The sequence below is a fragment of the Homo sapiens genome, chromosome 2 (genome assembly GCF_000001405.40).
Source record: "Homo sapiens chromosome 2, GRCh38.p14 Primary Assembly".
Classification (NCBI taxonomy): Eukaryota; Metazoa; Chordata; class Mammalia; order Primates; family Hominidae; genus Homo; species Homo sapiens.
In genome coordinates, this window is record NC_000002.12 from 46860207 (window position 1) to 46875320 (window position 15114).

The 15114-nt window shown below is 50.9% G+C and overlaps 1 long non-coding RNA gene across 2 annotated transcripts, besides 3 other annotated features; it reads left to right on the forward strand.

Moving 5' to 3' along the window:
• The first annotated feature begins 3327 nt into the window (after positions 1 to 3327).
• LOC124906004 (uncharacterized) lies at positions 3328 to 15114 on the forward strand. 2 transcript variants are annotated; one of them, XR_007086310.1, is made up of 2 exons: positions 3328 to 3407; positions 14637 to 15114. It is a non-coding gene; the product is annotated as an uncharacterized LOC124906004 (long non-coding RNA). The 2 variants fall into 2 exon arrangements; XR_007086309.1 differs by lacking the exon at positions 3328 to 3407 and adding an exon at positions 5423 to 6050.
• Positions 11744 to 12038: an enhancer, noted in NCBI's record as "tiled region #4552; K562 Activating DNase matched - State 5:Enh". NCBI's record gives its function as "activates a minimal TATA promoter and a strong SV40 promoter by Sharpr-MPRA in K562 cells {active_cell/tissue: K562}" and the evidence as "EXISTENCE:reporter gene assay evidence [ECO:0000049][PMID:27701403]".
• Positions 11744 to 12038: a silencer, noted in NCBI's record as "tiled region #4552; HepG2 Repressive non-DNase unmatched - State 21:Repr". NCBI's record gives its function as "weakly represses a minimal TATA promoter and a strong SV40 promoter by Sharpr-MPRA in HepG2 cells {active_cell/tissue: HepG2}" and the evidence as "EXISTENCE:reporter gene assay evidence [ECO:0000049][PMID:27701403]".
• Positions 13194 to 13693: an enhancer, noted in NCBI's record as "H3K27ac hESC enhancer chr2:47100539-47101038 (GRCh37/hg19 assembly coordinates)". NCBI's record gives its function as "activates a minimal SCP1, AML or CMV promoter by ChIP-STARR-seq in primed H9 embryonic stem cells {active_cell/tissue: H9 hESC(primed)}" and the evidence as "EXISTENCE:reporter gene assay evidence [ECO:0000049][PMID:30033119]".

The following is a 15114-nucleotide window of genomic DNA, read 5'->3' on the forward strand; positions in this document are numbered from 1 at the left end:
ACACACACAGAGAGGAGAGACTGTGTGAGGACACAGGGAGAAGGCGGAACTGAAAGGAATCCATTTCTGTTGTTTAAGGCCCTGAGCCTGCGGTCCACTGTTATGGCAGCCCTAGCAAGCAGATACAATGAATCCCCAAACCTCCTTCCTTCCTCCTTATTGCCTCTGGCTGGGGCTCCCTACTGGCCAAACCCCACCAAGGCCAGAGGGCAGGGGTGTGAGTGGGTACAGTCAAGACAGGCCAGCCTCCCAGGTCCAGAGCAGGGTGACGAAGGTGGAGAGTAGGCCCAGAGCAGCAGACAGGGGTGTCTGCACACCTGGGAGGGGTGTGGAGTCGAGGTAATGTATCTTCAGATGGATGACCCAGGCTCCTGACAACACCAGGTTCACAAATAGGACACAGAACAGCATGGTGAAGGCAGGCCAACATCTGGACCAAGATTGGGAGAAAAGGGAAACAATGACAATGGTTGGTAGGACTGCAGCTGATTTGTTTTCCCCAAGCTTTTATTTTATTTATTTATTTTTTTCCGATATGGTTATGTTGTTTTAGACTAAAAAGAGCCAATCCAGAGGCAGACTTTTCAGACGAAACAGCTTAATCTAGCCTGAGGGCAGGGAGGCTGTTGGGGCAGAAGGGTGGTGGACGGGGGCAGGCAGCACCCTTGAATTGCTTAAGCTCCATCAGAGAAGAGATATGCGTGTCTCCTGTGCCCTTCGCCCCTGGGTTCTCTCATGATAAAGGATAGACCAAGAGCGTGACCTTCTGGGTATGATGGGTGCTTCCCCCAGCCCCGGACTCCGTCTCAACATGGGTCCAGGCACCCAAGGCACAGCTCTGAGAGGAACAAAAGCTTGGGGAGCTGTCCTAAGTATCCCTCACCCCTCGCTTCTTCCCCAGAGTCCTGGGGAGACATCATTTGTGACATCTGTTGCCTGGTGTTCTTGCCTTAGGTTCACAGGCATGTGAGTTTCCTCTCTACTGGATGAGACCGGTGGGGCTGTGGGCTGCCTGCCCCAGCCCTTCTCCCTCTCCATCTCTGTGGCTGGAGCCCTTGCTCCGGTGCCCCAGGACTGTCCACCAGCCCATCCTCCCTGTCAGCCCCTGGCCCTCCACACCTTGGTTTTGCAGACTAGGAGGTGCTGCCTGTTCTCCTCTGTTCTCATGGGGACCGCAGGCAGGACCACATGGCGGGGGGTTCTAAAGACATACCCATCCCCCTTTCACAGGGTTGCTATGGGGACACATGCTCAGCTGCCCCCAAACCTTCTTAACCTCTGGAAATTGCTCAAATGGAAACATTAACACAGGACCACCCTCCGCACAAAGCCCATATGAGGGCGGAATGAGAGTCAGGACGGGGCTCTGAGCACAAGACATGCAGGTGTGTCTGACAGACGGGGTGGGGGCAGATAAACCTCAAAGCAACCAGGTCACCAAGTCCTGGGAGAGAGCCCAGCTTTGTGATACCCACATAGTAGCTCACAACTATGCGCCAGATCCAAATGGGCTCCTGTGCCACTTTCTTTAACACTCCTGGCCACTCCATGAGGGACGCTGTGATCTCCACATTGTACAGACAAGAAGCCGAGTTGCAGAGTGATCGCATAAAGCCCAGGGACACGCAGATAGTCATGGTGCAGCCAGGATTTGAACCTAGGCAGATTCCAGAGGCTGCTGTCTGAGTTGCTGGTCTGAGTTTCCTTCTAGCTAAAGGTAGCAGGGAAAGAACTTACCGCCTATAGGAAAACAAGATCTATTTTCATAAGCAACAAGAAGCCCTCATGAGGACGACAGGACTGGTAGTGTGAAGTCCAAAAGAGCTCCCTGCCTTCTCCTGGCTTAGGTCCACCTCTGTCTGCAAGCTGATGAGTCTGGCCCTGAAGCGAGCAGATCTTTCTTACCCCACTGGGGCTTAGCTGGACTCGGAGCTCCTGCAGCCCTGACCTCCCCAGGGCATCTGCGACTCCCAGATTCAGCCTAGGACTTACAGAGCTCCCTAGAAGGAATTAATTGTGGACAGCAGTGGGGACGGTCCATTTTCAGTCTTCCTAATCTTCTCTGGGAGCTGTTTGACTTGAATTCTTTGACCTCCAGGGTTTTTACAGAAGCCTACTTGTTTAGGATGTGTTAATCAAATAAGGGATGCAAGCTGTGAGTCCTCTTGGGCAGAAATGGACTTTTTCTGACCACTGCTGCACTCCTCCCGCTCAGCATCTCAGAAGTGGACATGGGACCAAGCATCTCAGTGGTCTCAGCTGTCTGGCTTGGAGGTGGGGGGGAGAGGGAGAAGGTATAGCCCTTTAATCTTCCTCTTTTTGACACCAGAAAGTATCCCACATTAATCAGTCCCACATTAATCAGCTCCTTCCTCAGGCAAAAGCTGAGCTGGGAAAGTCCCAGATGGGGCAGTGTCCCCATCATTCATTATTACTAAGCCAGAGATATCCAGCAGGGATCAGTGGAGTTTTCAGTCCTCATCTTATATCCAGAGAGCACAAGACATTCCAAGGCAAAACTAGATAGTGGACACTTAATAATTCATCGATTCCAACACAAGCTTGCATGTAACATATCTCATAATACCAAGTAACTCATAAAACAAGCAGTGAGAGACATTTATCGGACAAACACTTCCTCAGATCACTTCATCTGCCTGAGAGAACAGACCTGCCATAATGGGCCTTATCCAGCAAAACAGGCTGCGTGTTGGGAGGGCAAAATGGCTGTTACATGAGCCCACCCATCTTGCCATCAAAGGGATGTATTTGCACCCTGAGTGGTAGCAGGGACAGCTTGCTATGTGAAAGCTATAAGACAATGACACCTCAGAGACCAAGCCACCCAGCTATGGGATCGTCTAGTGTGGGAGAGAGAACATACTTTTCCTACCCCTTTTTCAGTGAGGCAAGAAGCAGTAGGGATGTTTTTAACTGCCATTAACAGAAAACCCAACTCAAAGGGGCTTAACCAATAAGAAATTTATTATCTCCTATAACAAGAAACCGCAAGGTAGGCTAGCTCCAGAAAAGGTTAATTTAGCAGCTCAATGGCATCATCAAGGACCCAGATGCTATCCTCAGTGCTGCTGTCAGCTTCAGGCTGGCAGCTGGATGCCTATAGTGGTTCCATGCACAATATCCAGAGCGTCTCGGGAGAATGAAATGAGAAACCTTCCCAAAGTACCCCTTATAGACTTCTTCTTGAATCTCACTGGCCAGGATTGGGTCACAAGCCCATGCCTAAGCCAATCACAGGTAAGAGAAGTGGAACGGCTCTCATTGGCTTGAACCAATCGGGATCCACCTTCAGGGGCTACAGATGGCCGCAGCTGGGCTAAAGCCCGAGGCTGGCTGGGAGAAGGCGGAAGCCCGAATAAAATCAGTCTCTGTTGGTGAGGAAGAAGGTAAACTCCAGCTGAGAAGACCAACCCCAGGAGCTAACAGATAGCGGGAACTCAATACATAGAGTTATTTTCTTTAAGTGACTTGCCAAAGGGCACAGAGCTATAAGTGGCAGAACCAGAACTCAAATCCAGAAAGAGAACAAGGATGCTAAAGATAAACTGGGCTTAGTTCACAGCTGCTCCCATGACAGTCCCCATGGTGGAGGGGCCTCTTCCTCTGGGAGTCCGGCTGTTTTGTCACCCTGAAAGTGAAGGGCACAGCAATGCTTTCTGAGGTAGGGGACCCCTCCTCCACCATGGCCCCAGGAATCCCTCCTCTGCCAACATCCAGCCAGCCCAGCTATCACATCACAGCTGCATTTTTCTGCTCTTCTCTACAAAATAACTCCAAGGAGGTTGACAGTTTTTCCTCTGTCCGCATTTGATCTATAGCTGCAATTACAAGCTTTCCTTCACAATGCCTGCATGCCAACAGATGTCTTTTGCAAGTCAGCAATGCTGCCATCACAGCTGCTGGCTCAAACTCCCAGCATGTGTGCTACTGAAGACCTTTCCCTCCACATTCTGAGGGATGCCAGGCTCTGCCCCCACCCCCTCCCACACTAGCTGGGTCTGAGCTGCCTGGGATATATCAGAGTTGGGTGAGAGGTTAATGATCTATTTCAACAGAGACCCCAAAAGACAGGAGAGACTACTCCCTCCACCCAAAACCCACCTGGGATGGCTCAGAAAGCAAGGTCTGCAAACACGGGGGATAGGGGTGGGCTACCTGCCCAGAGCTTCCTCCCAAATGAGATCTTTACCATATGTTTCAGTGGGGATCCCATCCTTAAGAACAGACAAACTTGTGGGCCATGTTTGATTAGTTCTCCAACTTCATTTCTGCCCCTTCTTGCTACCTCTTCCTAAAATGGCCACTCTGGAGTCAGTATTTCTGGGTTCAAGTCTTCACTCTGCTCTTGAACCAGTTCTTTACCTCTCTGTGTCCCAAATTCCTTTTGTAACATGGAAATCGTATTTCAGGTTGCTATCACAGAGTACCATCGACTGGGTGGTTTACACAACAAGCATTTATTTCTCACAGTTCTGGAGGGTAGAAGTTCAAGATCGGGGTGTTTCATGCATGGGCAGGTTCTGATGAGGGCCTCTTCCAGGTTGCAGACTGCCAACTTCTCTGTGTCCTCACACAGTGGAAAAAGAACTAGCTAGATCTCTGGCCTCCTTTTATAAGGGCACTAACCCCATTCACAAGGGCTCCACCTTCATGACTCAATCACCTCCCAAAGGCCCCACCTCCCAATACCATCACATTGGGGGTTAGGGTTTCAACATGAATTTTCAGGAACAGAAACACTCAGTTCATAATAGATAGTATCTACCCCATAGAGCTATTTTGAGTGTTAAATAAGATTCAATTTAAGTCCTTAGTTTAGTGTCTGGCATAAAATGCGTACTCTCCCTATGTTGGTTTTTATTACTACTATCTGAGTTCCTTTTTAAATCTGGAGTAACTGCTCATTACCACTTATGGAGCATCTCACAGAGCAACCTGGACACTCTACAGGTTGTCTCCACAGTGATCCTCACAATCACCAGGAAGATAACATCCCCATCCCCTGGGATGAGCAAACGCAGGCTGCGGGAGCTAGGAACCTGTCCAGGGTCTCACTGCTAGGTATCAGGAAAGTGGAAATTGCAACCCAGATCTGAGTCAAGAGCCCACCCTTTTTCACTATGCCAACTGCTTGCAAATTCATTTTATGTGAGTCATTTTTTTTGAGGAATTTGTGGGAATCAGGAATACTCTGAGGTGTGGGAAGGGGGCATCACCAAGTAGGACACAATGCCAGGATTCCAGAGGTCACCAGGCATCCTGGGCCTTCTCTAAGGAAACAAGCTGGGGTCTGCAGAACCCTCCCAACCTCCTGCATCTGTGACGTATGTTGTCTGCTACCTGATTCTCCATCAAGATTTGGGGGAACCTGTTAAAGGAGAATAGCCTTCAAAGTCACCACGTGGAAGCAAGCCAGGCCCATTAGGGCAGGGAGTGCTGCTGTGGCCTTCTGCAGGAAAAAATGTCTCTCTGTACCTTCTCACTGTCTTCCTGGGCCAATTCAGATATCCACTGGGTCACTGCACTAGTGGGTGGGGTCACCGTGCCTGTTTAAAAACCCCAGTGCACATGGGCGTGGCCCCTTTCCTGCTCTGCCAGGGCAGTGCTGAGCCTGGGGCTGGCTCCCCAGCCCTCATCCACTTTGCAGAGTGCAGGGAGGAAAAGCCCAGGGGCTGCTCTCCCTTACAGCAGGTGCTTCTCTGTTGATGTTCCTCCCCCACCTGTTTCCAAGTAGCCCGAGACATGTCTTTCTCGCACCTTCTTCTTCCCCTGCTGCAAGCCCACTCCCGTTCAGACAGCGTGAACCTGAGTCTTTTTCCTGGCAGGCCACCTGGGCCACGAAGGCCCACACATCGAGGCACCTGCTGCTTCTTAGTGCTGGCCTTTGCTCACCTAAGACTCAGGTGTGGCCATAGGAGAAAGAGGTTCTTTGGCGCAAGGCTATGGGGCCTGACAAGCTGAGGAGAAAGGTGGCCACAGCATTGCTTCCTAGGTTGGCGCAGGGGGTCAAAGCCCCAGCTGGCAACAAGGTATCCTATTACTTTGCTTTACGTTTTTTGTAATGGATTGAGGGGTTAGGAAAGATTTGAGTACTTCTGGGTCGTCTGATGGAATATGCATCTAAAGCCATCTCCATATCACCATGACACCTGGAGTGGACAGTGGCAGCTACTGAAAAAAGAAAAGAAATTTTAAAAGAAAAGAAAGAAAGAAAGAAACAGGAGGGTGAGTGGTGTCCTTGAGCCTTTGGAGATGAAAAGGTTGTGTCTTTGGCCCTTGGGAGTGTGCAGTTGAAAGACCCACTTCCCTGGCATGTGGCCACTGACCCTAAAAGCATTTAATTTTGTAAGGGTGACAAGTCCAAGAAAGATAAGAAGCTGGAGGTTGGAGGGCAGATTATGGGGAGGAGGAGCACAGAGCAGGAGAGACAGCTATGTCTTGTGCCCCATGGAGCTAGCAAAGCACCTAGACTCAGATCCAATCCTTTCATGTTCTGTAGACAAGTCTAGTGATCCCAGGGTGGCAGGGAAGGGCTAGAAGCAGCTCCTGACAAACCACCCATGTGTCCCATAGCAGACCAGAGCCTGGTTTCAGGCCTTCGGTCTTTAGGGTGAGGATGTGATAGCCAAGGCCAAAGTCCAGCTGGCCGGGGGGAATGTGGGCCGGGTCCTCGGGAGGGAGGTTGTGGCTGGGGCTGCAAATTTGAGAGCACACATTGAACATACAGTAATGGGTGACTCTGTGTGGGGATGGAGTGGGGCTGAATGGGATCTGAGGAGAGAGAGGTGGGGAGGGCTGACCTCTGGGAACACCGCGTTCTCAGGAAACAGCAGTTCCTGTTGTAAAACCTGGCTCCTCGCCTGTGACAAACTTCCTGATTCTGAACTGTACAATGGCTCTCAGTGCTGGCACCTTCTTGGGAGGAGCAGGAAGTGGGGGTGGCGGGGGGACCTCACCTTAGTGAAGACCTACTGTGTGCTGTCGTTGTGCCTCATGACATTTACCGACTCCTTCGGAAGCAGGTGCTGCTGTTCCCACTGTGCAGATGTGTGAGGCTGATTCCTACCTCGTAGCTCCTCAGACTCAGGGCTACACCTTGGAGGGGTCAGCTTTTTTTTTTTTTTTTGAGACGGAGTTTGGCTCTTGTCGCCCAGGCTGGAGTGCAATGGAGCGATCTTGGCTTACTGCAACCTCCGCCTCCTGGGTTCCAGAGATTCTCCTGCCTCAGCCTCCCAAGTAGCTGGAATTACAGGTGTCCGCCACCATGCCCAGCTAATTTTTGTATTTTTAGTAGAGATGGAGTTTCGCCATGTTGGCCAGGCTGGTCTCGAATTCCTGACCTCAGGTGATCCACCTGCGCTGGCCTCCCGAAGTGCTGGGATTACACGTGTGAGCCACTGCTCCTGGCCCAGCTTGCTTTCTGAGGCAGCCTAAGCCCCAAGCTGGGATTGCAGGGACCTACATTCTTGTTCCGGTTGAGTCACTAACTACCTAGGTGTGCTAGGGCAGGGCCTGTCACTTCTTTGGGACTCAGATTCCTTGCCTGTAAAGAAGGTTGGCCCTCAGAGCCCCCTTGCAATTTTAAGGTTCTAGAATTCCACTTTTGGGACCAGCTGGTGCCCCATGAACAGCTTGTTGTGGTTCCTACATTAGTTTAGATTGGGGTGTCCTACAAGTCCCTGTGGTGAGAAAGGGCAGTCTTCCTCCCGCAGCGAGTCAGAGCCTACCTTGGCAGAGGCGTCGGCCTTCCTAATGGGCTGAATCTCCCTCTGCCTCTGAATTATGTTCAACTCGACAAATACTGACTGGGCCGATCAGCATGCCTGGCTCTGTGCTGAGTGTCACTGAACTCGAGGAACTTCCCTCCAGGAATTCTGAGTCTAGTAGAATAGACAGGCAATGAAACCTTACTGAGAGAAGCGCAGGGCTGGGCATGATGGCTCATGCCTGTAATCCCAGCACTTTGAGATGCTGAGGCGGGAGGATTGCTCGAGGCCAGGAGTTCGAGAGAGAAGGGCAAGAGACAAGGTCCATGAAGGGAAAAATTCACTCCATCAGGGAGGTCAGGGATGGTTTCATAGAGGAGATGGTTCCTAGGTTGGATTTTGAAGAATGAATAAGAGTTCGACAGATTGACAAGGCACGTAAACTTCTCTAGGCAGAGGAAATAGAATGTGCAAAGGCACGTCGTTACGAAACAGCATAGTACAGAGGAAAACTGCAAGGGTCTGAACTGAAATGAAGACAAGAGGAGCACCAGGAATGAGGCGGAGCGGCACGTGGGAGCAAAGCACACAGGTGTCCCTGACCACACGCCTCCTTCCTAGCGCTCTCCTGATGGGATAGTTAGTGGTCCCTCAGCCCACCCAACCCGACCTAAAACAGCTTCCAGGTTCCAAACAGCATCTCTCCTTCTGTCTTGGAGGCCCAGAGTTCTGTTTCCCATAATAAGAAGCAGGAAACTGAGGACCTGGGAGAGATGAAGGGACCCACCCCAGGATCTGCCAGTGCAGCCCCTTGGCTCATCTGTCCTGTGGCTCATCTTCACCTATCTTCCCTTTAGACCCATGGCTCTCAACAGGGGGCACCTTTGACAAAGTCTTGAGAGGATTTTGGTTTTCATGATGGGGTGCTACTGGCATCTAATGGGTAGAAGCTGGGGATTCTGCTTCCTGAAATGCACAGGACAGCCCTCAAAACAAAGAAGCCTCCAGCCCAAAATGTCACCAGTGCCAAGGTTGAGAAGCCCTGCTGTAGACAGGGGTGTCAGGGGTGTCAGGGGTGGTCCTGCCCACAGAGGCCAGAAGGAGCCCAGATGCCTGAGCAGGGCTCCCCGGAAGGCTCTCTACTGATGAGAGTAATTCTGATAATAGCAATAGTTATAGTCCATGTGCCCATGTCACCAATGAGGCTTAGAGAGGCTGTGAACTACCCAAGGTCCCTCACAGGCAGGAGCAGGGCCAGACCTGAACCCCCCGTTTCTGGCCTCCTAGGCCAAGCTCCCTGTGTGCCTCCTGGACAGTGTCCCTGCAGACTCCTGAGTCCTCACTGAAGGTCAGAGCCTGCCCGAGTTTGAGGAGGTCCTTCTCTCCCCCTTCCAGCGTCCCCAACTCCAGGCAGCCCATGGGCTAGGGGATTTTCTTCTTCTTTGGAACTTAGCACATGTTCTGAGTCTCTGACACTGTGGCCCAGCAAGGCGTCTGCCAGGAGCAGCTCCGAAGCCCACCCTCTTCCAGCCTCACTCAGGGCATGTGGCGACTTGTTCTGTCTCCAGGACATTGTTTGTGCCCCACTGTGGCTCCAATTTTATTTGTTTATAGACCAGATGAGGCCTGCATTTGCTGTCGTTTTAACCCTCACCCTCAGCTCTCCCAATTCACTCATCTGCTGTCTGGAGAGTCCCCCTCCCTTCTTCCCTCCTACTCTTTCCTTGCCCCTACTCCATGCCTGTGCCCATATCTTGCCCCTCCCTCTGCACCCTGAAGCCCTGCTCAGCTGACCTGCCTGCCTCAGACCCCCAGGGCCCCTTTGCCTGGCTGGCCTCCCCCAACTCCTAAGCCCAGGACTCCAGGGCACTGATCCCAGAGCCCCAGCAGCGCCCAGCCCCGAGTTTGGCAGTATCTTCTGAGTGAAGGACTTGCTGGCTGTAACGGAAACCCTCCAGCAGATCAGTCCATGTCCAGTTGGAGCACAGGCCCACAAGCTGGGCTGTCTGGGTTGGAATCCAGCTGCTCCCCTTCCTGCCCTGGGACCTGGGGCAAATTCCTTCACCTCTCTGTGCCCAGTTCCCCATCTATAAAACATAGGTGGCAATAGCAGGGTTGTGGTGGGATTCCAGCTGCAAAGTCCTTTGAGCAGTGCCAAGCACAAGATAAGAATGTGTTGCTATTATTATTATTATCATTATTATTATATGCCTTTGTGCTCACTTTTGAAGTCTGAGCACTAGAGTCCTGATCTTTGGCCACCTAGGGGTCCATGCAGGGGTGAAGACCACGCCCTCTCCTGGCTGGATCCCAGGTGAGCATCACTGAACTCCTCCGCCCAAGGTGCATCCAGTGCTGACTGGATGAGAGAAGGAAGGGGGACAGTTTTGATGGCAGAAGCCATTCTATTCCTCCTCTTAGCACATGCACCGCTCCGAGGAAGATCCAAGCAGCTCTTTGCTCCTGGACACGTAGCTCTAGGAAGGGTGAAAACCTGGCCCTGATATTGGTCCACAGAGAGACCATGGAGCTCACTGCCCAGTCCCTGGAGCCCATCTCTGTTCCTGCTCTAAGCCCCTGCCTGCTTCCCAGCCCCACCTTCCCCTCCTCAGCAGTACCCAGCCCCTCTGGTGCCTCAGAAGCATCCACAGCTTCCCACGGGGCTTGTGAGCCTGACTCAGAGGCAGAGGGGTGGGGGCATCAGAATCTGAGCCTGGGGAAGGCCAGCCTTCTGCTCCAGGCTGTGACCGTCTTCACTCTTGCCTTTGGCTGTCCCTGTGTATCTGAAACTCACACAGCTCACCGCAATTTCCATCTCCTGCCACAAGTCCTCCCCCTGGTCAATATACCAGACTTCTACCCCCTCATCCCAGAACTGTGATTCATCTCCTACCCACCCTAGAACCAACTGTTGGGCCCTCTCCCATTCTCAACCCCAGGAGGCGCTTTGCCCTATTCTCTTCCAGTTCCTGCGCTTCCTACCCATCCTCATCCTGCCCACCTCAGCCATCCCACTCCATTCTTTTATTCCTCCCCTCTGCCCTGTGGCTCCTCTTTTATCCCCCAGGAGCTGGCCCCACGGAAGACTACCCATCACCAGGGCAGTACTGGGCGGCCACTTGTAGGGAAAGTGGGGAGTCTAGTCCTTAACCATCCTCAGGGCCTTGACATCAAGCCGTCCAACCTGCAGGCCCTGGCTTTTGAATGATCTATTACTAATGTTGTTTTTGTTGTTTAGCACTCTCTTATCAAAGAGCTCATTTATTCCTTGCAATAACCCGGCAGTTAGATAGACCAAGTCTAAGGCTTCTCTTGTGAGTGGCCCCAGTTGGGAGGAGTGTGAAGTCCTCCTAACACCTGCTCCCAGACCATCTTGGGTTCCTGTTGCCAATTTCAATTAATTGCTATGAAGGATGAGAAACAGGATGCAGAGAAGTTCTATCTTCCCTTTAAGACCGAGAATACCCTGAAGGCATTGCCTGAGGATATCTCAAAGGGAAGGACCACATCTCCTCCACACCAGGACATCCCCAAGCAAGGCCTTGTCTTTCCTTCTATCTTCAGTACTCAGTCCATAGGACTATATTAAGACCCCCAGTTGGTGCTTTTTCTGGGTGAGTGACTAGCAGAGAAACCTAGCACTCATTTCCCCCTCTGTCTCTTTCTCTCATAAAAATGCTTTTATTTCGTTCTGGGGATGGCCTGACAGTGGGGCCCTGGGGCCCATCTGCTGGAGGAAAAAGTCAGTGAGGGACAGAACAGCACAGCTGCCAGTCTGGCTAGACCTCCTCTCTGAACTGGAACTCCTCCGGAGATGAGTATGGGTGTGATGGGCCTGCGGCCGAGGATGTTGAGGGGTCTCCACCAACTCTCCTTTCCTGATCAGGTTAATACTCGAAAACAACTTTCATCTCTGCTTGGCCTCAGCCCAGTCTTTTCCTTCTGCCCTCCCAGCATGAGTCCTGGAGCCTGAAAGAGACCACGGTTGGGAGAAGATGTAAGTAAGGAACTACTATGGCCTCCAGACCTGGTCTCCTTCCAAATCTACTGTCTCAGGCTGTTCCCTCTGGCCCATCTTCCTTATCTAATAGGTCTAAAGCTGCACTGTCCTTCAAAGTTAACCTCAGACTTCACCTCCTCCAGGAAGATTTCCCTGAATCTAGCCATGATGCTGTCTCCCTTCTCGGAATTCCTGAGGTCAATAGAGTCTGTACCAGGAATCTGCTGCACGCCATGTGCTCTGGTTAAGCACGCAAGTTATTAGGGCTGTTCACAAATACTCCAGCCCTCCCTCCTCTGGGCTCTTGAAAGGGGTTACTCCCTGCCCACTTGAAGTTAGGCCGCGCCATGTGACTTGCCACATGAGCGGAAAGGATGAGTGTTGCTTCCAGGTGGAAACTTTTAAAGTCAGCATACTCTTTTCCATGACAATTGTCCAAGTGCCACATAATAGCTGCTTGGCCCTCTGGCTGACTAGGACAGGCTGAGCACCTGAAGATCTGTGATGAACATGTCATTGTGAGCAAAAAAGAAACCTTTGTTGTTTTGAATCAGTAAGATTTTCTAAAGCTGTTTGTGACTTAGCATAACCTGGCCTGTCCTATGTGATGCATTACGTGAGCAACCAGGATCTCCCTTGACAAGCTTGAAGTTCAGAAGAAGTTCATATTTTCTCCTAATTTTCATTCAAATTAGAAAAGCTTTTGATCCTAACCTGCTAAGACTGGTAGGAAGTAGTCTTTCTCCTGGAGTTCTCACTCCTAAGCATTCACAGGCTGTTTAGTGTTACTATAAAGGAATACCTGAAGCTGGATAATTTACAAGGAAAAGAGGTTTATTTGGCTCTTGGTTCTGCAGGCTGGGAAGTTCAATAAGCATGGGGCTAGCATCTAGCATTTGCTCAGCTCCTTGTAAGGGATTTTGTGCTGCATCACAACATGGTGGAAGGTCAAAGGGGAGGTGGACATATCTGAAAAGGCAAAGCCTGAGGGGGATCCTGGTTTTGTAATAGCCCACTCTTCCAGGAACTAATCTGCTCTCATCAGAGTGAGAACTCACTTATTGCCTTGGGAACAGCACCAAGCCATTCTTGAGAGCTCTATCCTCAAGACCCAAACATCTCCCACTAGGCCCTACCTCCCAACACCACATGGGGGATCAAATTTCAACATAAGATTTGGTGAGCACAAATCACATCCCAACTATAGCAGGCCTCTAGGATGGCTTTCATGGATCATTTGAATCTGTCTCCCATTCCTCCTTCTCATCCTCAGTTACATTGGTCTTCCTGTTCGTCCTTTGTTGAATAAATAGTTGCTTTCCCAGCTCCACAACTGGGACCCTGGACAGGCCCATCTCCTGGTGGACATGCTCACCAAAACCACTGGCAGGGCAATGGTTTTGGGACTACAAAGTGCTGGGATTACAGGCGTGAGCTACCGCATCCAGCTGATGATCGCTTTTAAACTGGCAGTTTCTGCTCCCCCTGAGACATTCCTCCCCCTCAACACTCCAATCTTACTTTGCACCATCCATGGATTTCTGAAAAGATGCCAGGAAATAGATTGTGGGGAAATTATCCCCTGTTCTGAATTTCCAGTGAAGAGTGCTGTGTTGCAGCACATGTTCAGTAAATCATCTCATAAAGTAACACCCCCACCACCACCCCATTGCACAGATCTGGTGAATTCCTCTAAGCTCTCCCCTCCCCTCCTAACTGAATGAGCTCTCTCCCTCCAGGCTCCTCTGGGTTGGAGGTGGAGGCCAGGTTAGGGAGACCCCCATCATTGAAGGTTTAAAAGGACAATGATGAGACATTTGCCATGAGGACCTGAGGAGCCGCAGGCCTGTTAGTCACAGGCGATGAGTCACCCTGCATTGTTTGTGCTGGTGATCCTTCGCAGATGCAGGCAGACTGCAGGAGGAGTTGAGTTCCTCCTCTTGCTCTGGGTGTGTGGACTGGTGCGTGCACATGTGTATGCACGTATGTGTGTGTATATGTGTGTGTACATACACACATGTGCTTGGGCCTGCAGCCCAAAGTGCACATGGGACAGCCTATATCTGGGAGATTACTATTTCCTAACACATTTGGGGTAATAATTACTGTCCTTCAATCAGAAGCTTGTGTGTCAAAGATAACAGGGCACATGGGCTGTATAGGCATCAGTTTCTGGTTGGAATCATCCCTTTGAGGTTGCATGGAGATTTAGGGGCTGTCCACTCAGCACCCCACTCCACTCTTTTTCCCTGGGAAATGCCCTCCACCCACCAGCCCTCTTGGTTAGAGCCACAGAGACTTCTGGATCTTGTCCATACAGTGTCTACCTCACCTGGCCACAATTTACAAGGCCAGGAGTGGGCATTAGACATGGAAAATTGGAATTGGGACTACAATTCCAGCCTTGGACCAACTGCGCTGGCTGGAAGCCATGTAAATGGAGGGCTCTGGGTGGCTGTTTTCCCCACTCTGCGAGCTGGAAGCAGAAAAGTGCTGCTGTGAGACAGAATGAATGTCTAGATGCCCAGACACCCAGAGAAACTGAGCGGGCAGCCTCTTCCTCTGTCCATGCCATTTGTCCCGTTTTAACATCCATCCCCCGTCCTGTCTGCATCCTTCAAGATCAGCTCAGGGGTTACCTCCTCAGTGAGGCCTTCCTCTATTTCCCCACGGAGGGCACCTCTTCCCCCTCTGGGTCACCTCCCTCTTTTCTTACCAGTCACGTCAAGGTTATTTTTGTTTCCCCCTAGAATGAGCTCCCTAAGGACAAGAACTCTGGCTCTGTGACCTTTCTACACTTAGCAAAATGCATCGCACATAATGGTGCTCATAAATGCCTGGGGACTGATGAATCCAAACAGCTGTGTCCTACGGCCAGTTTTGACCTTGTCTCTTTCTCTTCTTTTTAGGAGGAAAGAGCCAGGCTTAATCTTGGTCTCTCCTGTCTCTGTGGAAGCCTGAATTCCCCTCGGTTTATGAGGTAAAGAATAGCTGGTCTCCTTCACATGCTTTCCCGACCCTATCCTGGATAAACTGAGGCAGGAAGGCATCTGCTTTCTACTCCAGTGATGTTGCGGCCGGGATGCCTTCTGGGGAACTCGAATGCTGCAGGCAGAGGGGCTAGTTTCTGAATTGCTTGTGACATGTTTGGCTACCAGTGACCAAAGTCCTCTATGGCTGGCATTCTTTAGTTTAAAGAATCGAGGGTGTCTCTTAAACCAGGGATGAGGGCCTTGGAAACCTTCCAAAAATTTTTATACAACGCGGGTACATACAACTTTTTACAAATATGAAATCATACTGTACATCCTTTCTTTTGTGACCTATTTTCATTCAATAACATTTTACAGTTTTCATGTTAATAAACCTAGCTGTACATTACTGGTA